The sequence below is a fragment of the Homo sapiens genome, chromosome 5 (genome assembly GCF_000001405.40).
Source record: "Homo sapiens chromosome 5, GRCh38.p14 Primary Assembly".
In the NCBI taxonomy this organism is placed as follows: Eukaryota; Metazoa; Chordata; class Mammalia; order Primates; family Hominidae; genus Homo; species Homo sapiens.
In genome coordinates, this window is record NC_000005.10 from 171356633 (window position 1) to 171382311 (window position 25679).

Consider the following 25679-nt stretch of genomic DNA (forward strand, 5'->3'; position numbering starts at 1 on the left):
CAATTACCAATTCAGGACCTGGTATGAGTCAGAAGGCCTCTATGGTAACACTTAAGGCACCTTCATCAAGAGAGCACACCATGCTGAAGATCACACCCAAGACGTGATAGCAACAGAACTACAAAGAAGCCTGAATCTGCAGCCTTTGCTACTCTCCTATGCCACCAGAAGGAAGAAAGGGCCCCTTAGACCCGGAATGCTGATATCTAGATAGACCTTATGTGATCTCATTGAAACTCCAGATTCCCCTGAACCCGTGGGCCTGCGAGAGTGGCCCATTATCCCCTACTGGTATACAGCAGCATCCCCTTTCTTGAAAAATGTATGTGTTTCAACCAAAGTGGATGCCTTTCAAAATGATATTTGCCCTCCTCGAGATGGGTTACCACCTCCCCTATGGCTATGAGACCAATAATCAAAGTCAAGTCACAGCGTGGCCTAGCTGAGGAAGTATAGGACCTGCTAGGGAAGAAAATGGTAGAGCTGCAGGGCCCAGAACAGGGAAAAAAGTACCCACTGGGAATGGATACTAAGGGATGAAGGGAGAATATAAGACGCAGTAAGGAAGAGCTTGTTGATATGAAGGATCCTTCCATGGCTCAGGATTCAGCACCCTACTGAGGGTTCCTGGTACCAGCCCCAGTTGTGGTGGCTCCTGGAAGCTTGGAAAAACTGATGGTGCACATAAATAAAGGTGGGGCGTGCTAGAAAGGTGTCAGGGCACAGTGTTGAGGAAGTGGCCAAAACACTCATTGTGTAAGACCTGAGAACCTACCAGATGAGCAGGCAAAGGAGGGCCGAGAGATTCTCGCTTTTATTAAGTGATATGAAATGAGTTAGTGAGGGAGCCATTGGCATCACCGAGAAGCTCAGTATTGGCTGTTCTGTGGGGCTAGATGGCAGTTCTTAACTACCAAAGGCAAGGTGGTGGAATGACTCTAATGGGCAGCAAGGCTGGAATGGCCACTGGGAGACTTGACTCCCAGGGATCGCTTATAATGACAAATAGGCCCTGGTGTTCCTAGGGACAAGAAAGTGGGCAGCCAACAAGGAAATGGCAAGTATTTAGATGCTCTGGCAAGATATATGTGCTCCAGAGGGCAAGAAATTAAACCCTGCAAAGGTTCAGAAACCAGCGAAGCTAGCGAACTGTTCAGGTACCAGTGCGGGATGTGGGAAGATAGGTCAAGTGCATTATTGCATCTGGCAACTCCCACACTAAGAAAGACGCACAAGGCTTGATAAAAGCCTCTTGAGTTTTGGATGTTCTGCTCTCAGAAATATTGTTCTGACCCATATATCAGATATCAGGTGACTTGAAAGAATGCCAGGTCTGAGTAGTGGGCAGGGCCAGAAAGGGCTCTGCAGCAGCTCCAGGCTGCAGCATAACTGGGCCTGCCATCTGGGCCATATGGCCCAACAGATCCCATCATGATAAGGTTATTGGTGATAAACACACCATGTGAAGTTTCTGTCAAACCCCTAAACAGAGTTTTGGAGCAAGGGCATTCTATCTGCAATAGAGAACCACTTAAGAAAATGGGTTTTTGGAGTGCTACTGTGTCCTGGTAGAGACCGAGCATCTGACTGCTGGAATCAAGTGACTGTCAGACCCACTAAATCCTAAGGTTAGGTGGGCACAGCCTCATTCTACTGTACAGTGGAAGCAGTACGCCCAGGATTGGGCTCAGACAGGCCCAAAGGGCACAAGTAAGTTATATGAATGGGTGGGCCCAGACCCATGTCACCTGCCTCCATTGCACTAATCCTTCTCTCTCAGCTTATACCTATGGCCTCATGGGAGCTTCCCTATGCCCAGATGACAGAGGAAGAATCATGGGCTGGTTCAGAGATGGGCTACGCCATAGATGGGGCTATTTTTTGTATAAATAAAATATTTGCATTTAAAATGATGTGAGTTTTAATCCATTGACTTTTATATTTTTCCCTCAACTGCTTTAACATTCTGGGGGAAAACTAGGCATCAAAAGCTACTTTAAGGTATAGAAAAGAAGAGATTTGAATAAGGAAGGAAGGACAGGCATGGTGGCTCACACCTGTAATCCCAGCACTTTGGGAGGCTGAGGCGGGCAGATCACCCGGGGTCAGGGGTTTGAGACCAGCCTGGCCAACATGGTGAAACCCTGTATCTTCTAAAAATACAAAAAATAAAAATAAAAATTAGCCAGGCATGGTGTTGCACATCTATACTCCCAGCTACTTGGGAAGCTGGGGCAGGATAATTACTTGAACCCAGGATGCGGAAGTTGCAGTGAGCCAAGATCACACCACTGCACTCCAGCCTGGGTGACAGAGCAAGGCTCCATCTCAGAAAAAAAAAAAAAAAAGGGCCAGGAGCGGTGGCTTACATCTATAATCCCAGCACTTTGGGAGGCCGAGGCGGGCTGATCACCTGAGGTCAGGAGTTCAAGACCAGCCTGACCAACATGGAGAAACCCCATCTCTAGTAAAAATACAAAATTAGCCGGGCATGATGGCACATGCCTGTAATCCCAGCTACTCGGGAGGCTGAGGCAGGAGAATCACTTGAATCTGGGAGGCAGAGGTTGCAGTGAGCCAAGATTGTACCATTGCACTCCAGCTTGGGCAACAAGAGCGAAACTCCATCTCAAAAAAAAAGTAAAATAAAATCAAAATCAGACAATTTTTTTTTTTTTTGAGACTGAGTTTCATTCTTGTTGCCCAGGCTGGAATGCAATGGCACGATCTTGGCTCACCGAAAACTCTGCCTCCCGGGTTCAAACGATTATCCTGCCCCAACCTTCCAAGCAGCTGGGATTATAGGCGCCCACCACCATGCCCAGCTAATTTTTGTATTTTTAGTAGAGACGGGGTTTCACCATGTTGGCCAGGATGGTCTTGAACTCCTGACCTCAGGTGATCCACCCGCTTCGGCCTCCCAAAGTGCTGGGATTACGGGCGTCAGCCACTACGCCTGGCTGACAATGTTTTTCTTAAACCACTGGAGTGTAGAGAACAAACCCTTATGAAAACAGAAATGTCAATTGTGTAATCATTGCTCTAATTAGGTAAATAGGAGTCCTTATGTATCGTTACAAGAATTTCCCTGTAACATCCTTTATGACCCTAAGTTCAATGACAGTTTGCATTTGGTGGTAAAAGGTTTTCTCCATGGCCTGAATGAAGACCACTAGAAAACACCAGGCACTGAGAACAGTAACTATCGGATGACTGTTTTCATGCATCCCGTGTCTGGGGACATGGGGCGGTATGCCTCGTCTGTGTCAGAGGGTGGAGCTGATGTGTTTGGCGTTGCATAGGATCTGGTGCTCCTTTTCTCCTGGATTCGCGTCCCCACCCAGGACCCCCTTTCACTCAACGTTCTGCCCTAGCCTAGTTCAAAGAAGTCATCCAACTTACTCTATCCAGTGGCATTGGAATATATTTGATATATATTTGTCTAACAACGTGACAAAGGGTTTTCTCCTTCTTTTCCGGCAAGGTACATCCTGCTGCTTTGAACTTCCAAGTATGCCTAGTCACCTTTTAAAATGTAGAACAGGCTGGGCGTGGAGGCTCACGCCTGTAATCCCAGCATTTTGGGAGACCGAGGTGGGCAGATCACCTGAGGTCAGGAGATCAAGACCAGCCTGGCTAACATGGTGAAACCCCATCTCTACAAAAATACAAAAATTAGCCAGGCATGACAGCGGGCACCTGTAATCCCAGCTACTCGGGAGGCTGAGGCAGGAGAATCACTTGAATCCAGGAGGCAGGGGTTGTAGTGAGCCAAGATCCCGCCATTGCACTCTAGCCTGGGCAACAGAGCAAGACTCCATCTCAAATAAATAAATAAATAAAATAGGCCAGGCGCGGTGGCTCATGCCTGTAATTCTAGCACTTTGGGAGGCCAAGGCGGGCAGATCACAAGGTCCAGAGTTTGAGACCAGCCTAGCCAACGTGGTGAATCTCTGTCTTTCCTAACAATACAAAAATTAGCTGGGCGTGGTGGTGGGCACCTGTATTCTCAGCTACTCAGGAGGCTGAGGCAGGAGAATCACTTGAACCCAGGAAGCGGAGGTTGCAGTGAGCTGAGATTGTGTCATTGCACTCCAGCCTGGGTGACAGGGCGAGACTCTGTCTCAAAATAAATAAATTAAATAAAATAAAATGTAGAACCATTTTCAGAAAAACGAGAATTGCTTTCCTTGTATGCGCTTATTATCTTGACTACCTGAATTGCAGGAGATTTTTATATATTCACATGTCAAAAGTCAGCAACTTTCCTGTTGGTTCATTGTTGAATGTGCTGTAACTGAAGTGTTTTGCAATTAAGATGAGATTCACCTAGAAAAAAAAAAGCTACTTAAAAACAGGTACAGGGAGGTGCACGACTTTTCCTTTCGCTTCTGGTTCCGATAGGGCTCAGCACAGCACCGAAATTTATTCAAATTTTTGATATTTTGTTATCATGGATTTTTTTGCATTCATTTTGATTTTTAAAACATTGCACTAAAATATTATTTATCCTGGCTACTGATTTTTTGACACCCCCACCCCGCCCCAGTTTTGTGCCCAAGGTGAGTTCCTTACACATCTTACCCTAATCTCATCTCTGCAGCTCAACTGTACAAAAAAGAAAACAAGAAGAATAATCCAGAAACATGAGATTGTGTCAGAGGCGTGTGACCCAGAACAACTCCATCTTGAATGGGGGCTGGGTAAAATGAGGCTGAAACCTACTGGGCTGCATTCCCAGGCGGTTAAGGCATTTTAAGTCACAGGATGAGATAGGAGGTCAGCACAAAATACGGGTCATAAAGACCTTGCTGATAAAACAGGTTGCAGTGAAGGAGCCGGCTAAAACCCACCAAAACCAAGAAGGCCACGAGAGTGACCTCTGGTCGTCCCCACTGCTACACTCCCACCAGCCTCATGACAGTTTACAGATGCCATGGCACCATCAGGAAATTACCCTATATGGTCTAAACAGGGGAGGCATGAATAATCCACTCCTTGTTTAGCATATCATCAAGAAATAACCATAAAAATGGGGAACCTGCAGTCCTCGGGGCTCCCCTGTCTATGGAGTAGCCATTCTCTTATTCCTTTACTTTCTTAATAATTTGCCTTCACTTTGCACCGCGGACTCTCCCTGAATTTTTCCTGGCGCACGATCCAAGAACCCTCTACTGGGGTCTAGATCGGGACTCCTTTCCTGTAATAATTGGGCCGGCTGCAGTCGCTCATGCCTGTAATCCCAGCACTTCGGGAGGCCCAAGCGGGTAGATCACCTGAGGTCAGGAGTTCGAGACCAGCCTGGCCAACATGGCTGTATCTTAAAAATACAAAAATTAGCTGGTCGTGGTGGTGTGCGCCTGTAATCCCAGCTACTCAGGAGGCTGAGGCACAAGAATCGCTTGAACCTGGGAGGCGGAGGCTGCAGTGAGCCGAGAGTGCTCCACTGCACTCCAGCCTGGGTGACAGAGCAAGAGTCCGTCTCAAAAAAAAAAAAAGAAACAAATGAGATTGGTAATTTATAGGCAGTAGACAGGAATAGGGTAGAAAGGATAGGGGAAGTGATATCACTCTGAGCCATCCTTTTTGTATATTTCTGACTTTTAAAACCATGTAAATATTTCACATACTTAAAAATGAATGAAAATGTAATCAGCAAAGATGGGATAGGGCCCCAAATGGAATACAAACAAAAACAATAAACTGGCCAGGCTCAGTGGCTCATGCCTGTAATCCTAGCACTTTGGGAGGCCAAGGCGGGTGGAATGCCTGAGCTCAGGAGTTCGAGACCAGCCTGGGCAACAAGGTGAAACCCTGTCTCTACTAAAATACAAAAAATTAGCTGGGCATGGTGGTGTGCGCCTGTAACCCCAGCTACTCGGGAGGCTGAGACAGGAGAATTGCTTGAATCTGGGAGGCGGAGGTTGCAGTGAGCCGAGATCTTGCCACTGTAGTCCAGTCTGGGCAACAGAGCGAGACTACATCTCAAAAAAAAAAAACAAAAAAACAAAAAATTAGCTGTAGCAAAAATGAATACCAAACCACACTGGAGATGGAGGAAGAAAATAACTACCCTAAGTAACTCTGGAAAAGAGCATTTTTGGCTATGTCCTATAAGGCCAAAAAAAATAAATAAATTGAGCATAAGTATTATACTTAGTAATTTTTCTCATGGCTATATATATTAGCATCTCTGAAACTAATTTACATGTATTGGAGAAAATAAATGTATTATGGACAATGAAAGCTAAATTTCTCTTTGTCAGAGAAAGCAGTTAAAATAAGAAATGGGAAAGGCTGCATGAAACCTATTATTTTGGTTTGCAATTGTAGGTATCAACTAGTGTGTGTGTGTTGTGTGTGTGTGTTTGTGCATCCTACAACCAATGAACACAACTAGCACCCGGGTCTGGATTTCTAAATACCATTAGCCAATGAAAGGAATTACATCTCCGTGAAGAAATGGCTGATTTCAGTGCTAGGGCAGGGAAAGTACAAAATTAATGTGCAACAGAAAATAGGAACTGCACACACACAAAATGATGGGTTGTGTCAAAAGGACACAGGAGCCCATTTGAAGGGGTTCCAATGGCCAAACCTTAAACAGTTTAAGCAAGAGAACAGGCTGGGCCTGGTGACTCACATCTGTAATCCTGGCACCTTGGGAGGCCAAGGTGGAAGGATCTCTTGAACCCATGGTTCAATACCAGCCTGGGCAACACAGTGACACCCTAGCTCTACAAAAAATTTAAAAATTAGCCCGGTGTGGTGGTACGCACCTGTAGTCCCAGCTACTCTGGAGGCTGAGGTGGGAGGATTGCTTGAGCCTGGGAGGTCAAGGCTGCAGTGAGCCATGATTGTGCCACTGCACTTGAGCCTGGGCAACAGAGCAAGACCCTGTCTCAAAAGAAAAAAAAGGACAGAGAGAGAAAGGAAAAAGAAAGTAAATACTAAGAGTAATACATTACGACACATAGAATAAAGTAAGAATCATGAATCCATCCTGACATAAATAAATACAGAGATAAGATGGAAAAGCTCTTCCTTACAGTAGAATTTCAACTAGCAAATAGACATTGAAAAGCATTGTTTGGCAAATACTATGCTAATCACTTTTTTAGGTAAAAACACTTCAACAGAAGCTAGGATGAGTAGGTAAAATAATATAGAAAATGGGATAGTTACTTGGTCTTAAAGATCTTCCCACAAAATACTTATTAATTACAAAGGGAAAAGAGTAACTTTGTAGTGGAGAAACCTCTAGACATCACCCTATCAAGTGATCAAAGTGAACATCCCCAGAAATGGGAAAAATATCATGTGCCTCCTGACATGATACACACAGGACATTGCATGCCTTCTCTGATATTCACAACAAAAATGAAGAACTGAAATTAGCCACGAGGAAACCTCAGCCAAACCCCAGATGCGGGCTATTGTACAAGATAAGTGGCCAGTTATCTTTACAAGTGTCAGGGTCATGGAAGACAAAGGACTGAGGAACAGTTCCAGATTACAGAAGATTAAGGAGACATGCAACTTAATGTGTGAGGAGATACTGCACTGAATCCTGAACCAGAAAAAGAAGATCAGTGGGACAGTTCGTAAAATTTGAATTAGGTCTATAGATCAGATAATAGTGCTGTATCAGTGTTAATTTCCTGGCTTTTATATATGTATTATGGCTATGTAAAATGTTAATATTTGAGGAATCTGGACAAAAAGTATAAGGAATTTCTTCTGGTACTATTTTTGCAACGTATGTAAATCTGGAGGCCGAATACAGTGGTTCAAACCTGTAATCCCAGCATTTTGAGAGGATGAGGCAGAAAGGATCATTTTGAGGCCAGAAGTTTAAGACCAGCCTGGGCAACATAGGGAGATCCTGTCTCTACAAAATAAAATAATAAATAAATAAATAAATAAATAAATAAATAAATCTGGGGGGGAAATAATCAGCCTTTGTAGCCTAGTGTTGCCTCACCAAGTAGGTAAATTTCTCTTGGTAAGGTCCTTTTAAGAATTCTCTAAGCTGGTTACTTCTGGATATGCCAAATTCTGGAAGTGCAGTCAAGCTCACCACAGTCCTCTCTTTTCTTTGCCAGTACAGGTAGCTCTAGCCAGCCTCTGGACTTCAGACTTTTCCAGGCAAGAGTTGGGAAGCATTGACCAGGCGTGGTGGCTCACGCCTGTAATCTCAGCACTCTGGGAGGCCGAGGTGCGTGGATCACTTGAGGCCAGGAGTTCAAGACCAGCCTGGCCAACATGGTGAAACCCTGTCTCTACTAAAAAAACAAAAATTAGCCGGGCATGGTGACGGGCACCTGTAGTCCCAGCTACTTGGGAGGCTGAGGCAGGAGAATTGCCAGAACCCGGGAGGCAGAGGTTGCAGGTGAGCCGAGATCGTGACACTGCGCTCCAACCTGGGCAACACAGCGAGACTTCTTCTCAAAAAAGAAAAAAGAAAAAGAGTTGGGAAGTGGACTCTGCACTCCCTTAACTCCAGGAGACACAGGTCACATTTTTCCAGATCTCTCTCAGCATCTTTTGCTCCAGTACAGGGCAGCACTGCGGCTAATGGAGACTTCTGACTTGACTTCAGGTCCAGGGTAGGAATAGCCCTGACCTCTAGGCCAGTAACTCCTTTCAAAGAAATCCTCTGTATCCTCTGATCAGTCTCCTCAATGACTCTCCTGGTTGCTCTTCTCTATAGTCTGGAGATACATAATGAACTATATGCCATAGGATGGGTTAGCAACTTCTAGTAGGTTCTGCTTGATTGGTACACTTTAGAAAGAGGGAGACATGTCAGCTATTTTCCTCAGACTGGAGACTGAACTGGGAGCCGGAGATAATCAGTAAGACCCCATTTAACATTCTGTAGGTTCTCCATGCTACCCATAGAGGGGGCCATACGACGCCGTTCTGGATTCTCATCTTAACTTAAAGGGAAATTTCCACAATGTCCAGAGCCTCGATGTCCTGCAAATGAAGGAGGGGAATATCCTCTAGTTTCTTGCAGCAGGAACCCACTTAGGTGGCACCAACCTGGTTCCAGTTGGAACAGTATATCTACAAAGGAAAAGTGTTGGGCGTGGTGGCTCACGCCTGTAATCCCAGCACTTTGGGAGATCGAGGCAGGTGGATCACCTGAGCTTGGGAGTTCGAGACCACCCTGACCAACATGGAGAAACCCTGTCTTTACTAAAAATACAAAATTAGCTGGGCATGGTGGCGCATGCCTGTAATCCCAGCTACTTGGGAGGCTGAGGCAGGAGAATCACTTGAACTCAGGAGGCAGAGGTTGCAGTGAGCCAAGACCGCGCCATTGCACTCCAGCCTGGGCAACAAGAGCAAAACTCTGTCTCAAACAAAAAAAAACAAACAAACAAAAAAGAAAAGTGACGGCATTTACATCCTAAATCTGAAGAATCTAATTCTGTTGGCAGCTTGTACCATTGTTGCCATTGAAAACCCTTCTGATTCTGCAGCCAATTAAGCCGACTGAGTTCCTTTCCTCATGGGGGCCCAGTGTGCAATCGCTGCAAACAGCAGCTTCCTTGGTAGTATATGCAGCCTGTTTATTGTACGGGTTGCTCTACGGGACCTTGGAGACAGGCTTTTCAGATGGATGTTCATGTTTCTGACTTTGCATTACCCCAGTGTAGGCTCCGGACAGGCATGCGAGGTGCCTTTGGAAAGCCCCAGGGCACTGTGGCCAGGGTTCACATTGGCCAAGTTATCATGTCCATCTGTACCAAGCTGCAGAACAAGGAGCATGTGATAGAAGCCCTGCACAGGGCCAAGTTCAAGTTTCCTGGCCGCCAGAAGATCCACATCTCAAAGAAGTGGGGCTTCATCAAGTTCAATGCCAATGAATTTGAGGACATGGTGGCTGAGAAGCGGCTCATCCTAGATGGCTGTGGGGTAAAGTACATCCCCAGTCGTGGCCTTCTGGACAAGTGGCGGGCCCTGCACTCACGAGGGCTTCCACTGTGCTGCCGCCCTCTTAATATTCACCAATACATTCTACTTCCTGTCCAAAAAAAAAAAAATTAAAACCCTTCTGATGTCAGTCTCATGTCCTCCCGGAATCCTGGCCAGCGGGCTGAGCTGAGCTTTGCTGCTGCCACAGGAGCCACTCCTATTGCTGGCCACTTCACCCCTGGAACCTTCATTAACCAGGTCCAGGCAGCCTTCTGGGAGCTGCGTCTGTTGGTAGATACTGATCCCAGGGTGGCCACTGGCCTCTCACAGCAGCATCTCATGATAACCTACCTACCATACCTCTGTGGAACACAGGTTCTCCTCTGCGCTGTGTGGATATTTCCATCCCATGCAACAAGGGAGCTCACTCGGGGGTCTGATGTGGGGAATGCTGGCTCAGGAAGTTCTGCACATGCCTGGCACTGTCTCCTGTGAACACCCATTAGAGATCATGCCTGATCTCTGCTTCTACAGAGATCCCGAAGAGATGGAAAAGCTCATGCCTGTAATCCCAGCACTTGAGGAGGCCAAGGCAAGCAGATCACGAGGTCAGTAAATTGAGACCATCCTGGCTAACGCAATGAAACCCCGTCTCTATTAACAATACAAAAAATTAGCCCGGCGTGGTGGCACATGCCTGTAGTCCTAGCTACTCAGGAGGTTGAGGCAGGAGAATCACTTGAACCCGGGAGGCAGAGGTTGCAGTGAGCCAAGATCACACCACTGCACTCCACACTCCAGCCTGGGTGACAGAACGAGACTCCGTCTCAAAAAAAAAAAAAAAAAAAAACAGAAAAGAAAAAAAAAAAAAAAAAAAAGAACAGGCTACTGCTGAAAAAGCTATGACCACAGACCACAGAGGAATTTCAGATTTCCGGGTGAATGGACTGCTCCAGCTCCTGAGTTCACTGCTAGTTAGCCTGAGGTTGCAGACTGGTCGGAGGCATGCAGGTACCCAGTGTCTATCCAGCAGTTCTCTATTGAAGATGTGGAACACTCAGCCTGCCATGGAAGACTGACCTTCAGCTCTCATTGCTCAGGCCACTAAACGGGTAGGAACAACCAATGTGTGGTCTTAAGCTGTTCTTCCACAAGCCTTTTTTTTTTTTTTTTTTTTTGAGATGAAGTCTTGCTTTGTCACCCACACTGAAGTGCAATGGTGCAATCTTGGCTCACTGAGACCTCTGCCTCCCAGGTTCAAGTGATTCTCATGTCTCGGCCTCCCAAGTAGCTGGGATTACAGACGCGTGTCACCACGCCTGGCTAATTTTTCCACATCTTTAGTAGAGACGGGGTTTCACCATGTTGGCCAGACTGGTCTTGAACTCCTGACCTAAGGTGATCCGCCCGCCTCGGCTTCCCAGAGTGCTGGGATTACAGGCATGAGCCACTGCACCCAGCCCCACAGGCTCTTAAGCAACATGAAAATAAGATTGATGGAAAATAAACTTTAGTTTCTAAAAATAACAACAGAGGCAGGCAGATCTCACCAGGTGGGTGGATCACTTGAGGTCAGGAGTTTGAAACCAGCCCGACCAACACGGTGAAACTCTGTCTCTACTAAAAATACAAAAAACTAGCTGGGCGTGATGGCGCCCAAAAGCTGGAACCTAGCTTTTCACAGTGCCCAGAACATAGTATTCATGCAACGCTATGATTCCCCACTGGGAAATTGTAGAAGAAACTGCAACTTCAAAACTTAGGTTAAAAAGCAACAGTCTTACTGGGCACAGTGACTCACATCTGTAATCCCAGCACTTTGGGAGGTGGGGGGAGCAGATCATCTGAGGTCAAGAGTTCGAAACCAGCCTGGCCAACATGGTGAAACCCCGCCTCTACTAAAACAAAAAAACAAAACAACAAAAATAAAAACAAAAACAAAAACACACAACGAAAATTAGCCGGGCGTGGTGGCGGGCGCCTGTAATCCCAGCTACTTAAGAGGCTGAGGCAGGAGAATCCTTTGAACCCAGGAGGCGGAGGTTGCAGTGAGCCGACATTGCATCACTGTCCTGGGCGACAGAGTGAGACTGAGTCTCAAAAACAAAAACAAAAAAACGGCAGTCTTAAACTAATGTGTTTGACTAAGATGGATAACAGCGATTGGATTTACACTTCCATTTTAAACAACTAAAAACTTGACAAAATATATGAAATAAGCCTTTTCAGACATCACATAGTCAGCACAGGGCAATCACGCTTGAGAGAGGAAACAGATGATTGCCTAGCTGAGTTCTAGGAGCGTTTCCAGGCCACAGCAAAGGGAGGCGGGATGTGTGGAGTCTGGTCGTCTCCCTGAGTTGAGGTAGCGTTGGGAGTTTGGGGAGGCCCAGGTGGCTAGCGTTTGCAGGGCAGAGTACTGGGGAGGAGAGAGTTATACACAGAGAGACCCAGAGAGCTGCAGAAGGCTCCCTTCATGTCTTCAACTGAAGATGAATCAGCAAAGGCTTGTATAGAGACTGTCAGGCCTCTGAGCCCAAGCTAAGCCATCACATCCCCTGTGACCTGCAGGTATACATCTAGATGGCCCGAAGCAACTGAAGATCCACAAAAGAAGTGAAAACAGCCAGGTCTTGCCTTTCCACCATTGTGCTTTGTTCCTGCCCCACCCTCACTGATCAGTTGACCTTATGACAATACACGCTCCCCGCCCCTGCGATCATGTACTTTGTGATATTCCCCGCCCTTAAGAAGGTACTTTGTAATATTCTTCCCACCCTTGAGAATGGACTTTGTAAGATCCGCCCCCTGCCCACAAAAAAATTTCTCCTAACTCCACTGCCTATCCCAAACCTATAAGAACTAATGATAATCCCACCACCCTTTGCTGACTCTCTTTTCAAACTCAGCCTGCCTGCGCCCAGGTGATTAAAAAGCTTTATTGCTCACCCAAAGCCTGTTTGGTGGTCTCTTCACACAGACGCGCGTGACAGAAACCACTTGAAGCCGGGCGCGGTGGCTCAGGCCTGTAATCCCAGCACTTTGGGAGGCTGAGGTGGGTGGATTACCTGAGGTCAGGAGTTCGAGACCAGCCTGACCAACATGGTAAAACCCTGTCTCTACTAAAAATACAAAAAAATTAGCCAGGGGTGGTGGCGGGCACCTGTAATCTCAGTTACTTGGGACGCTGAGGCAGGAGAATCGCTTGAACCTGGGAGGCGGAGGTTGCGATGAGTTGAGATCAAGCCATTGCACTCCAGCCTGGGCAACAAGAGTAAAAATTCCGTCTCAAAAAAAGAAAAGAAAAGAAAAGAAAAGAAACCACCTGAAGCTGGAGAAAGAACCCCCTCAAAAGAACCATCCCTAGACCTCACACAGACAGGGCTGTGGATCATTGGTATTCAGGCAGAGTGGGAAAACCTCATCCTGCCCAGGGCATCCAGTAGAGTAGTCAAGAGTTTTTGCCTCAGAAATGGTGAGAAAACTGGCTCTAGATAACAGGCTGCTTTAATTCCACCTAATGAAACCGAAAAGCAAGATTCACAATGAATCAAACTCATTCTGAGAATCTTAACTGTGTGCCAAAACAAAACTCAATAGTATTATTATTTTTTGAGATGGAGTCTTGCTCTGTCACCCAGGCTGGAGTGTGGTGGCATGATCGCAGCTCACTGCAACCTCCGCCTCCTGGGTTCAAGCCATTCTCCTGGCTCAGCCGCCCCAGTAGCTGAGATTACAGGTATGCACCATATGCTCGGCTAATTTTTGCATTTTTTGGTAGAGACAGTATTTCACCATGTTGGTCAGGCTGGTCTCGAACTCCTGACCTCAGGTGATCCACCTGCCGTGGCCTCCCAAAGTGCTGGGATTACAGGCATGAGCCACTGCACCTGGCCAACTCAATAGTATTTTTAATTTATTTTTTAAAGACAGAGTCTCGCTCTGTCACCCAGGCTGGAGTACAGTGGCTTGATCTCGGCTTACTGCAGCCTTGACCTCCTGGACTCAAGAGATCCTCCTACCTGAGCCTCCAAGTAGCTGGGTAGCTAGAACTCCAGGTGCATGCCACCCCACCTAGCTATTTTTTTTTTTTTTTAATTTTAGTAGAGACAGGGTCTCACTATATTGCCCAGTCTGGTCTTGAACTTCTGGGCTCATGCTATCCCCCTGCCTTGGCCTCCCAAAGTGCTGAGATTACAGGAGTGAACCACCATGCTAGACAGTATTTTTTTTAAATACAAGAATATTCAGCATTTGGCCGGGCACGGTGGCTCACGCCTATAATCCCAGCACTTTGGGAGGCTGAGGTAGGCGGATCACTTGAGGTCAGGAGTTTGAGACCAGCCTGGCCAACAGGGAGAAACTCCATCTCTACTAAAAATACAAAAATTAGCCAGACGTGGTGGCACGTGCCTGTAGTCCCCACTACTCAGGAGCTTGAGGCAGAAGAATCGCTTGAACCTGGGAGGTGGAGGTTGCAGTGAGCCGAGACTATGCCACTGTGCTCCAGTCTGGGCAATAGAGGGCGATACCGTCCCCAAAAAAAAATATTCAGCACTCATCAAGGTAAAACTCACAATACCTGGCATCCTGGCATCCGATCAAAACTTACCTGGTCGCAAAGAAGGAAAATATGACCCACAAGGAGGATAAAAATCAGTCAATCAAAAGAGACAGAAAGTGCGTCAGCCTGCACCTTCCAGAACCTCGTTGAGGTTTGCTTTCTCCTGTTTTCCTCCTCAAACTCCAGCTGCAAATTCAGCAATCCAAGGATGAGTGGATTGTTCTCACCATGACCAGAATTCCCCTGGGATCTGTGCTCGGCAGAGGTGCCATCTCCCGAACCCAGACTGGAGTTGATGATCCAGGGAAGGTGCTTCCGGGTCCTGAAGAGGGCTCCTGGACCACCAGCCCCTGAGCCGGCAGCACCACAGCCCCCACTGCGCCTGTCCAGACCTTGTGGGCCCTGGGTGTTCAGGTGTGGGTTTAGTGCAGCACTGCTTGCTGCTCCTGTTACTGCAGCCTCAGCCGCATAGATTCGGCTTGTGTTGGCACCTCTCTGTTTTTGTGTGCGTCTGTTTCCTGGCAAGGTTGATCACTCGGCATGTCCGAATACTGCCTACATCGTCTCATGGCACATGCACCCTGCCCACGTGTGTGAAACGAAGCAGAGGATGTATTGTGAACACTAGTGGTCTTGGCTTCTTGTGTTGGTGGCATTGTCCCTAGTCCAGTATTTCCCACTGTTGTTGTTATATTATTGAGTTGGGGTTTTTCTCTGTCGCCCAGGCTGGAGTACAGTGGTGCCATCATGTCTCACTGCATCCTCTAAATCTTGGCCTTAAGGGATTCTCCTGGCTCAGGGTCCCTAATAGCTAGGACTACCGCTGGCGCCACTACACCTGGATAATTTTATTTGTTTTTATTTTTATTTTTATTTTTTTTGAGAGAGAGAGTCTCACTCTGTTGACCAGGCTGGAGTGCAATGGCATTGCAAACTCTGCCTCCCGGGTTCAAGCGAATCTCCTGCTTCAGCCTCCTGAACAGCTGGGATTACAGGTGCCTGCTACCATGCCTAATTTTTGTGGGGTTTTTTGTTTTTGTTTTTGTTTTTGTTTTAGCAGAGACAGGGTTTTGCCATGTTGGCCAGCCTGGTCTCAAACCCCTGACCTCAAGTGATTCACCCACCTCGGCCTCCCTAAGTGCTGGGATTACAGGCATGAGCCACTGGGCCCAGCCTATTTTTTTATTTTTTGTAGAGACAGGGTCTCGCTATGTTGCCCAGGTTGGTCTTGAACTCCTGAGCCCAGGCAGTCCTCCCAACTTGGCTTCCCAAAGTTTTGGGATTACAGGCATCAGCTGCTGTGGGCTGTTATTTTGTATTGTCCAAAATTTTAACTTTCCAACTACTCAAAGTTGTTGAACTTTTACTTTTTTTTTTTTTTTTTTTTTTGAGACAGTTTCCCTCTTGTTGCCCAGGTTGGAGTGCAATGGCACGATCTTGGCTCACTGCAACCTCCGCCTCCTGGGTTCAAGCGATTCTCCTGTCTCGGCCTCCTGAGTAGCTGGGATTACAGGCATGTGCCACCACGCCGGGCTAATTTTTATATTTTTAGTAGAGACGGGGTTTCTCCATGTGGGTCAGGCTGGTCTCGAACTCCCGACCTCATGTGATCAGCCCACCTCGGTCTCCTAAAGTGCTGGGATTACAGGCGTGAGCCACCATGCCCGGCCTGAACTTCTACTTTTATGTAATATCTTCAGTCCTTAGTAAGTATCCTCTACATTTGGGATAAATGTTGTCTTTAGTTTTCAACTACTTTTTCTTTGGCTTATTCTCTCTCTCTCCCTCCCTCCCTCTCTCTCTCTCTCTCTCTCTCTGTGTGTGTGTGTGTGTGTGTGTGTGTATTCATGTTTTCTTAATCTATCTGAATTGTTGTGTCGGTTTTCCATGCGAATTTCCAGTTACCTCCACAGTATTCGTTTCAGAATGCTTCCTTTTGGTGCTACTTTTTGATATCTATTTTCTCATATAGTAAACATCGGTTTCTGGTAAAACACACACACACACACTCAGATATAACACAAATTATAACACAAATGATGGCTGGGCGCGGTGGCTCTTGCCTGTAATCCCAGCACTTTGGGAGGCCAAGGCAGTTGGATCACGAGGTCAGGAGTTCAAGACCAGCCTGGCCAATATGGTGAAACCCTGTGTCTACTAAAAATATAAAAAATTAGCTGGGTGTAGTGGTGCGCACCTGTAGTCCCAGCTACTTGGGAAGCTGAGACAGGAGAATTGCTTGAACCCAGGAGGTGGAGGTTGCAGTGAGCTGAGATCGCACCACTGCACTCCAGCCTGGGCAACAGAGTAAGACTCTGTCTCAAAAAAAAATAAAAAAAAAAAAAAAGGAAAGAAAGAACGCAAATGATAAAATTAGCAGAAAAAGACAATAAACAGATATTACATTACATATGGTCAAGAAGGTAGAAAAAAACATAGGCATTAAAGGAAAACATGAATGATGTAAAAAAAAATAAAAAAAAGTCAAATAGAACTTTTAGGGATATAGCCTGGCGTGGGTGGCGCATGCCTGTAGTCCCAGCTACTTGGGAGGCTAGGCGGGAGAATTGCTTGAACCCAGGAGGTGGAGGTTACAATGAGCGGTGATCGTGCCACTGCACTCCAGCCTGGGCAACAGAGTGAGACTCTGTCTCAAAAAAAGGAACTTTCAGAGATAAACAGTATGTTTAAGATAATGAGAGTCCGGGTGCGGTGGCTCATGCCTGTAATCCCAGCACTTTGGGAGGCCGAGGTGGGTGGATCACGAGGTCAGGAGATCGAGACCATCCTGGCTCACAGGGTGAAACCCCGTCTCTACTAAAAATACAAAAAATTAGCAGGGCGTGGTGGCGGGCTCCTGTAGTCCCAGTTACTTGGGAGGCTGAGGCAGGAGAATGGCATGAACCCGGGAGGCGGAGCTTGCAGTGAGCCGAGATCGCGCCACTGCACTCCAGCCTGGGCGACGAAGGGAGACTCCATCTCAAAAAAAAAAAAAAAAAAAAAAAAGATAATGAGAAATACACTGAATGGGATTAACAGCAAATTACATAATAAACAAAAGAAGATTCATGAACAATAGGGATATAGTAATAGAAGTTACCAAAAATGAGCCGGGCGCGGTGGCTCACGCCTGTAATCACAGCACTTGGGAGGCCGAGGGGGGCGGATTACGAGGTCAGTAGATCGAGACCATCCTGGCTAACACGGTGAAACTCCGTCTCTACTAAAAATACAAAAAATTAGCTGGGCGTGGTGGCGGGTGCCTGTAGTCCCAGCTACTGGGGAGGCTGCGGCAGGAGAATGGCGTGAACCCGGGAGGCGGAGCTTGCAGTGAGCCGAGATCGCGCCACTGCACTCCAGCCTGGGCGACAGAGCGAGATTCCGTCTCGGAAAAAAAAAAAAAGTAGTTATCAAAAGTGAAACATTGAGGAAAAAAAGACTGAAAAAAAATAGAGTATCAGTGAGCTATGGGACAAATCAAATATCCTAATGTATGTGGAGCTGGAATCTCTTAGGAGAGGAGGTAAAAGAGGGAACAGGAAAATATTTTAATATTTTAAAAAATAATGGCTTCAAATGTTGTATATTTAATGGAAACCATATGTCCACAGATCCAAGAAAATCAAAGAACCGCAGACGAAAGAAACATGAAACTATATTATATTTTACTGTATAATATATATACTACCTATTATAATCAGATTGCTTAAAATCAGGAATAAAGAGAAAATCTTAAAAGTAATCAGAGAATAAGACATTGCATAGAGAGGAAAAAATATAAAAATGACAGCTGACTTCTTGTTAGAAGAAAAAAATAAAGCAAGCCAGAAGACATTGGGGCAACATCTTTAAACTACTAAAAGAAAAAAACTTCTGTCAGGCGCGGTGGCTCACGCCTGTAATCCCAGCACTTTGGGAGGCTGAGGAGGCGGATCACCTGAGGTCAAGGGTTCGAGACCAGCCTGACCAACATGGAGAAATCCCATCTCTACTAAAAATAAAAAATTAGCCAGGCGTGGTGGCGCATGCCTGTAATCCCGGCTACTCGGGAGGCTGAGGCAGGAGAATCACTTGAACCCGGGAGGCGGAGGTTGCAGTGAGCCGAAATGGTGCAATTGCACTCCAGTCTGGGCAACAAGAGCAAAACTCTGTCTGAAAAAGAAAAAAGAAAGAAAGAAAGAAAGAAAACTTCTAAAAAAAAAAAAAAATGAGAGGCCAAGTGTGGTGGCTCAAGCCTGTAATCCCAGCACTTTGGGAATCCAAGGCAGGAGGATTGCTTGAGCCCAGGAGTTGGAGACCAGTCTGGCGAACATGGAGAAACCCTGTCTCAATAACACATACAAAAATTAGCCAGGTGTGGTCTAGCACACACCTGTAGTCCTAGCTACTGGGGATGCTGAGATGGGATGATCACTTGAGCCCAGGAGTTTGAGGCTGCAGTGAGCTGTGATCACACTCCAGCCTCGATGACCGTGAGACCCTGTCTCAAAACAAACAAACAAACAAAACAGAGGATATTTTTTGTCCTTTGGTTAGGGAAAGATATTTCGAGATATTTTAGACACTACATCAAAAGCATGCTCCATATGAGAAAGAACCTGATAAATGAGATTTCATCAAAATTAAAATCTTCTACTCTTCAAAAGACACTGTTAAGGAAATGAAAAGATAATTCACAGGCTGGGAGAAAATATTTGCAAATCACCTAGATGATAAAGAACTTGTATCCGGAATATATAAACCTCCCAAAACTCAATAATGAGAAACCAATAACCCAACTTTAAAAAATGGGCATAAAAACCTGGCAAGATGGCTCAAGCCTCTAAGCCCAGCTACTCAGGAAGCTGAGATGAGAGGATTACTTCAGGCCGGGAGTTCCAGACCAACCTGAGCAACATAGTGAGACCTCGTCTCTTAAAAAAAAAAATGATGGGGGATGAAGGGCCAGGTGTGGTGGCTCACACCTGTAATTCCAGCACTTTTGGAGATCCAGGAGGGCAGATCACCTGAGGTCAGGAGTTCAAGACCAGCCCGGCCAACAGGGTGAAACCCTGTCTCTACTAAAAATACAAAAATTAGCCAGGTGCAGCGGCAGGCACCTGTAACCCCAGCTACTCGAGTGGCTGAGCCAAAGGCATTGATCACTTGAGGTCAGGAGTTCGAGACCAGCCTGACCAACATGGTAAGACTCTATCTCTACTAAAAATAGAAAAAAATATAAAAATTAGATGGGCATGGTGGCGCGTGCCTGTAATCTCAGCTATTCGGGAGACTGAGGCAGGAGAATCGTTTGAACTCAGGAGGCAGAGGTTGCAGTGAGCTGAGATCGTGCCACTGCACTCCAGCCTGGGCGACAAAGCAAGACTCTGTCTCAAAAAAAAAAAAAAAATATTTAACAAAAGGAGGCAAAAGATTTAAACAGACATTTCACCAAAGATGATATGTGAATAGCAAATAAGCACATGAAAATACATTGACCATCATTAGTCATTAGGGAAATGCAAATTAAAACCTCAATAAGATGCCTCTGCACACATAATAGATCATCTGAAATGAAATTGTATTAGTGAGGATGAGGATGTGTAGGAACTAAAACAATCACACATGGCAATTTACTGTAAAATGGTACAGTAACTTCAATAACTTTGGAAAACAGGTTGGCCATTTCTTTACTTTTTCTTCTTCTTCCTCTTCTTTTTTTTTTTTTTTTTTGAGACAGTCTCACTCTGTTGTCCAGGCGGGAGTGCACTGGTGCGAACTCAGCTCACGCAGCCTCGACCTCCCAGGCTCAGGCAAGAGCTCAGACAATCCTCTCACCTCAACCTCCTGAGTAGCTGGGACCACAGGCATGCGCCACCACACCCGGCTAATTTTTTTTGTATTTTTAGTAAAGACCAGGATTTGCTATGTTGCCTCACAGGTTCAAGCGATTCTTGAGCCTCAGCCTCCTGAGTAGCTGCATTTACAGGTGTGCACCACCACGCCACCACACCTGGCCCTGGCTCTGCAATTTCTTAAAGAGTTTAATATGGGCAGGCACGGTAGCTGGTGCCTATAATCCCAGCACTTTGGGAGGCCAAGGTGGTAGGGTTGCTTCAGCTCAGGAGTTGGAGACCAGCCTGGGCAACATAGTGAAACCCTGTCTTTACTAAAAATACAAAAAATCGGCAGCATGCGGTGGCAACTGCCTGTAGTCCTGGCTACTCAGGAGACTGAGGTGGGAGGATTTGCTTAAACCCGGGAAGTCAAGGCTGCAGTGAGCAGAGATCACGCCATAGCACTCCAGCCTGGGCAACAGAGAGAGATCTTGTCTCAAAAAAAAAGAAAAAAAAAAAGAAAAGATCTTAACATAGATGTTCCAGATGAACCACTTTTTCACCACTACATGTTTATTCAAGAAAAATCAAAGCAGATGCTTACATATAAACATTGTCCACAAATATACATAGAAGCTTTTTAGGGGGAAAATATTAATTTTTCCTGTTTATTTTTAAATTGACAAATTAACGCATATATATATATATATTTATACTGTACAACAGGATGTTTTAAAATATGCATACAGGCCGGGCGCGGTGGCTCACGCCTGTAATCCCAGCACTTTGGAAGGCTGAGGCGGGCGGATCATGAGGTCAGGAGATCAAGACCATCCTGGCTAACACAGTGAAACACCGTCTCTACTAAAAATATAAAAAATTAGCCGGACATGGTGGTGGGCGCCTGTAGTCCCAGCTACTCCGGAGGCTGAGGTAGGAGAATGGCATGAACCTGGGAGGCGGAGCTTGCAGTGAGCCGAGATCGTGCCACTGCACTCCAGCCTGGGTGACACAGCGAGATTCCGTCTCAAAAAAATAATAAATAAATAAATAAATAAAATATTCATACATTGTAGAATGGTTACTAACCATTAACAAATTCATTACCTCACATACTTATTATTTATTTGTGGTGATATGGTATAATATGAAATATATTTGGTCTGTGTGCCAGTTCCTGTCACCCTGTCACGAGAAATTCCTAAAACCCTTGTAATTTTCTGAGTGATAGGAGTGCATTTTGAAATTCACAATGAGCCTTTTTTGTGAATTATTTTATTTTAATTTTTTATTTCAATAGGTTTTTGGGAAACAAGTGGTGTTAGCTATCTTTTTTTATTATTATTATACTTTAAGTTCTGGGATACATGTGCAGAACGGGCAGGTTTGTTACATAGGTATACACATGCCATGGTGGTTTGCTGCACCCATCAACCAGCCATCTACATTAGGTATTTCTCCTAATGCTATCCCTCCCCTAGCCCCCCACCCGCCGACAGGCCCCAGTGTGTGATGTTCCCCTCCCTGTGTCCATGTGTTCTCACTGTTCAACTCCCACTTATAAGTGAGAACATGCAGTGTTTGGTTTTCTGCTCCTGTGTTAGTTTGCTGAGAAGGATGGTTTCCAGCTTCATCCATGTCCCTGCAAAGGACATGAACTCATCCTTTTTTATGGCTACACAGTATTCCATGGTATGTATATGCCACGTTTTCTTTATCCAGTCTCTCACTGATGCGCATTTTGTTTTGTTTTGTTTTGAGATGGAGTCTCGCTCTGTCACCCAGGCTGGAGTGTAGTGGCATGATCTCAGCTCACTGCAACCTCCGCCTCCTGGGTTCAAGTGATTCTCCTGCCTCAGCCTCCTGAGTAGCTGGGACTACAGGGGCATGCCACCACACCTGGCTAATTTTTTGTATTTTTAGTAGAGACGGGGTCTCACCATGTTGGCCAGGCTGATCTCGAACTCCTGACCTCAGACGATCCATTCACCTCAGTCTCCCAAAGTGCTGGGACTACAGGTGTGAGCCACTGTGCTCCGTCTCTTTTTTTTTTTTCTTTTGAGACAGAGTCTAGCTCTGTTGCCCAGGCTGGAGTGCAGTGGTGCCATCTCGGCTCACTGCAACCTCCACTTCCTGGGTTCAAGCGATTCTCCCACCTCAGCCTTAGGCTGGCCTCTAACTCCTGAGCTCAAAGTGCTGGGACTACAGGTGTGAGCCACCTTGCCCGCCAAGCCCCTTTTGACCACACTTGAGTTTACAATAATGAGGTGGGTCAGGGTGGGGCCCCTAGATAGCCTCAGGATAGGGCTGGCCACCAGAAAGACCAAGTGATTAGAGGATTGTAACTTTCAGCTCCACTGACTGACGTCTGGGAAGAGGTGGGTGAGGTTGGAGACTAGGCCTTATAAAAACTCTTATTTTTATTTCTTGTTGTTGTTGTTTTGAGACAGCCTTGCTCTGTTGCCCAGGTTGGAGTGCAATGGCGTGATCTCGGCTCACTGCAACCTCTGCTTCCTGGGTTCAAGCGATTCTCCTGCTTCAACCTTCCGAGTAGCTGGAATTACAGGTATCCGCCATCATACCCAGCTAATTTTTGTGTTTTTGTAGAGACAGGGTTTCACCATGTTATGCAGGCCGGTCTTGAACTCCTGAACTCAGGTGATTCGCCCGCCTCAGCCTCCCAAAGTGCTGGGATTGCAGGCATGAGCCACCACGCCCGGCCATGTTTTTAAATTAATAAAAATTTTAGGGACCCAGTACAGTGACTCACGCCTGTAATCCCAGCAAGTTGGGAGGATGAGGTGGGTGGATCACTTGAGGTCAGGAGTTTGAGACCAGCCTAGCCAACATGGTGAAACTTTGTCTCTATTAAAAATACAAAAATTACCCAGGCGTAGTGGTGCCTGCCTGTCATCCCAGCTACTAAGGAGGCTGAGGAAGAATTGCTTGAACCCGGGAGGCAGAAGTTGCAGTGAGCTGAGATCGCGCCATTGCATTCCAGTTTGGGCAACAGAGCAAGACTCCATCTCAAAAAAAAAAAAATTTTTTTTTAAATTAAAATAAAGGGGTTTTTTGTAGAGATGGGGGTCTCAGTATATGCCCAGGCTGGTCTTGAACTCCTGTGCTCAAGTGATCCTCCTACATGAGCCTCTCAAAGTGTTCGGGTTACAGGCATGAGCCACCGCTCCTGGCCAAAGCCTCATAAAACCTGTTGAACAACACTTGATGGGCCCGGTGCGGTGGCTCACACCTGTAATCCCAGCTCACACCTGTAATTCCAGCACTATGGGAGGTTAAGGTGGGAGGATCACCTGAGGTCAAGAGTTAGAGACCAGCCTGGCCAACATGGTGAAATCCCGTCTCTAATAAAAATACAAAAATTAGCTCGTCGTGGTGGTGCACCTCTGCAATCCCTGCTACTTGGGAGGCTGAGGCAGGAGAATCGCTTGAACCCCGGAGGCAGAGGTTGCAGTGAGCCGAGATTGCACCACTGCACTCCAGCCTGGGCAACAGAGTGAGACTCCATCTCAAAGAAAAAAAAAAAAAGCCGGGCACGGTGGCTCATGCCTGTAATCCCAGCACTTTGGGAGGCCGAGGCAGGTGGAATGCTTGAGGTCAGGAGTTCAAGACCAGTCTGACCAACATGGTGAAACCCCGTCTCTACTAAAAGTACAAAAATTAGCTGGGCGTGGTAGTGGGTGCCTGTAATCCCAGCTACTCTGGAGGCTGAGGCAGGAGAATCGCTTGAACCTGGGAGGTGCAGGTTGCAGTAAGCGGAGATCGTGCCATTGCACTCCAGCCTGGGCGACAGAGTGAGACTCCGTCTCACAAAAACAAGCAAAAAAACTAAAAAAAAAAAAAAAAAAAAAAAAAAGACTTGATGAGCTGAGTAAAAGCCTCCATGGCCAGGAGAGTGGCACACTTCATCTCCATGAAGACAGAAGCTCCTATGTTGATGACCTACCCTTTCAGACCTCCCCCCACGTACTTCATCTGGTGGTTCATCTGTGTCCTATTTATTTATTCATTTATTTTTTGTTGATACAAATTTGATGTACATATTTTGGACGGTACATGTGATAATTTGATACATTCATATAATCAAATCAGGGTAATTGGAATATCCATCACCTGAAATATTTATCTTTTCTTTATGTTGGAATATTCAAATTATTTTTTCTAGCTAATTTGGAATGCACCATCAATTAATGATAACTATAATCATCCTACTGATCTATTGAACAGTAAGTGGTCTTACTTCTTGTATCAAAATATATTTGTACTCATTAATCAACCTCTCTTCATCACTCCCTTCCTCCCATCTGTGTCTTTTTTTTTTTTTTTTTTTTGAGACGGAGTTTTGCTCTTGTTGCCCAGGCTGGAGTGCAATGGCGCAATCTCGGCTCACCGAAACCTCTGCCTCCCAGGTTCAAGCAATTCTCCTGACTCAGCCTCCCAAGTAGCTGGAGTTACAGGCATGTACCACTATGCCTGGCTAATTTTGTATTTTTAGTAGATACAGGGTTTCTCCATGTTGGTCAGGCTGGTCTCGAACTCCAGACCTCAGGTGATCTGCCCGCCTCGGCCTCCCAAAGTGCTGGGATTACAGGGGTGAGCCACCGCGTCTGGGCATCTGTGTCTTATATAATGTCTTTTTTGTTTGTTTGTTTGAGACAGAGTCTCGCTCCGTTCCCAGGCTGGAGTGCAGTGGTGCAATCTTGGCTCACTGCAACCTCTGCCTCCTGGGTTCAAGTGATTCTCATGCCTCAACCTCCCAAGTAGCGGCCTGCCACCATGCCCAGCTAATTTTTTTTTTTTTTGAGATAGAGTCTCACTCTGTCTGGCCCAGGCTGGAGCACAGTGGTGCGAATCTCGGCTCACTGCAGTTTTCGCCTCCTGGGTTCAAACGATTCTCCTATCTCAGCCTCCTGAGTAGCTGGGACTACAGGCGTCTGCCACCACACCCAGCTAATTTTGTATTTTTAGTAGAGATGGAGTTCACCATTGTTGGCCAGGCTGGTCTCGAACTCCTCAGGTGATCCACCCGCCTCGGCCTCCCAAAGTGCTGGGATTACAGGCACGAGCCACTGAGCCTGACCTATTTTTTTTTTTAATTTTTATTTTTTGAGACGGAGTCTCGCTCTGTCACCCAGGCTGGAATGCAGTGGTGCGATCTCGGCTCACTGCAAGCTCTGCCTCCTGGGTTCACGCCATTCTCCTGCCTCAGCCTCCCAAGTAGCTGGGACTACAGGCGCCCACCACCACGCCCAGCTAATTTTTTGTATTTTGTATAGTAGAGATGGGGTTTCACCATGTTAGCCAGGCTGGTCTCGATCTCCTGACCTCAGATGATCCTCCTGCCTCAGCCTCCC

General features: G+C 46.3%; 1 non-coding gene and 3 pseudogenes across 1 annotated transcript, besides 1 other annotated feature; all 4 read left to right on the top strand.

Moving 5' to 3' along the window:
- RN7SL339P (RNA, 7SL, cytoplasmic 339, pseudogene) lies at window positions 2485–2780 on the top strand (annotated as a pseudogene).
- On the top strand, window positions 8963–11061 carry RPSAP71 (ribosomal protein SA pseudogene 71; annotated as a pseudogene).
- On the top strand, window positions 9486–9620 carry SNORA70J (small nucleolar RNA, H/ACA box 70J). The gene has a single exon (NR_145720.1). It is a non-coding gene; the product is annotated as a small nucleolar RNA, H/ACA box 70J (small nucleolar RNA).
- RPL10P8 (ribosomal protein L10 pseudogene 8) lies at window positions 9675–10043 on the top strand (annotated as a pseudogene).
- Window positions 22869–23087: a silencer, noted in NCBI's record as "fragment chr5:170806505-170806723 (GRCh37/hg19 assembly coordinates)". NCBI's record gives its function as "represses an EF-1alpha promoter that drives an FKBP-Casp9 reporter gene in an ReSE screen in K562 erythroleukemia cells {active_cell/tissue: K562}" and the evidence as "EXISTENCE:reporter gene assay evidence [ECO:0000049][PMID:32094911]".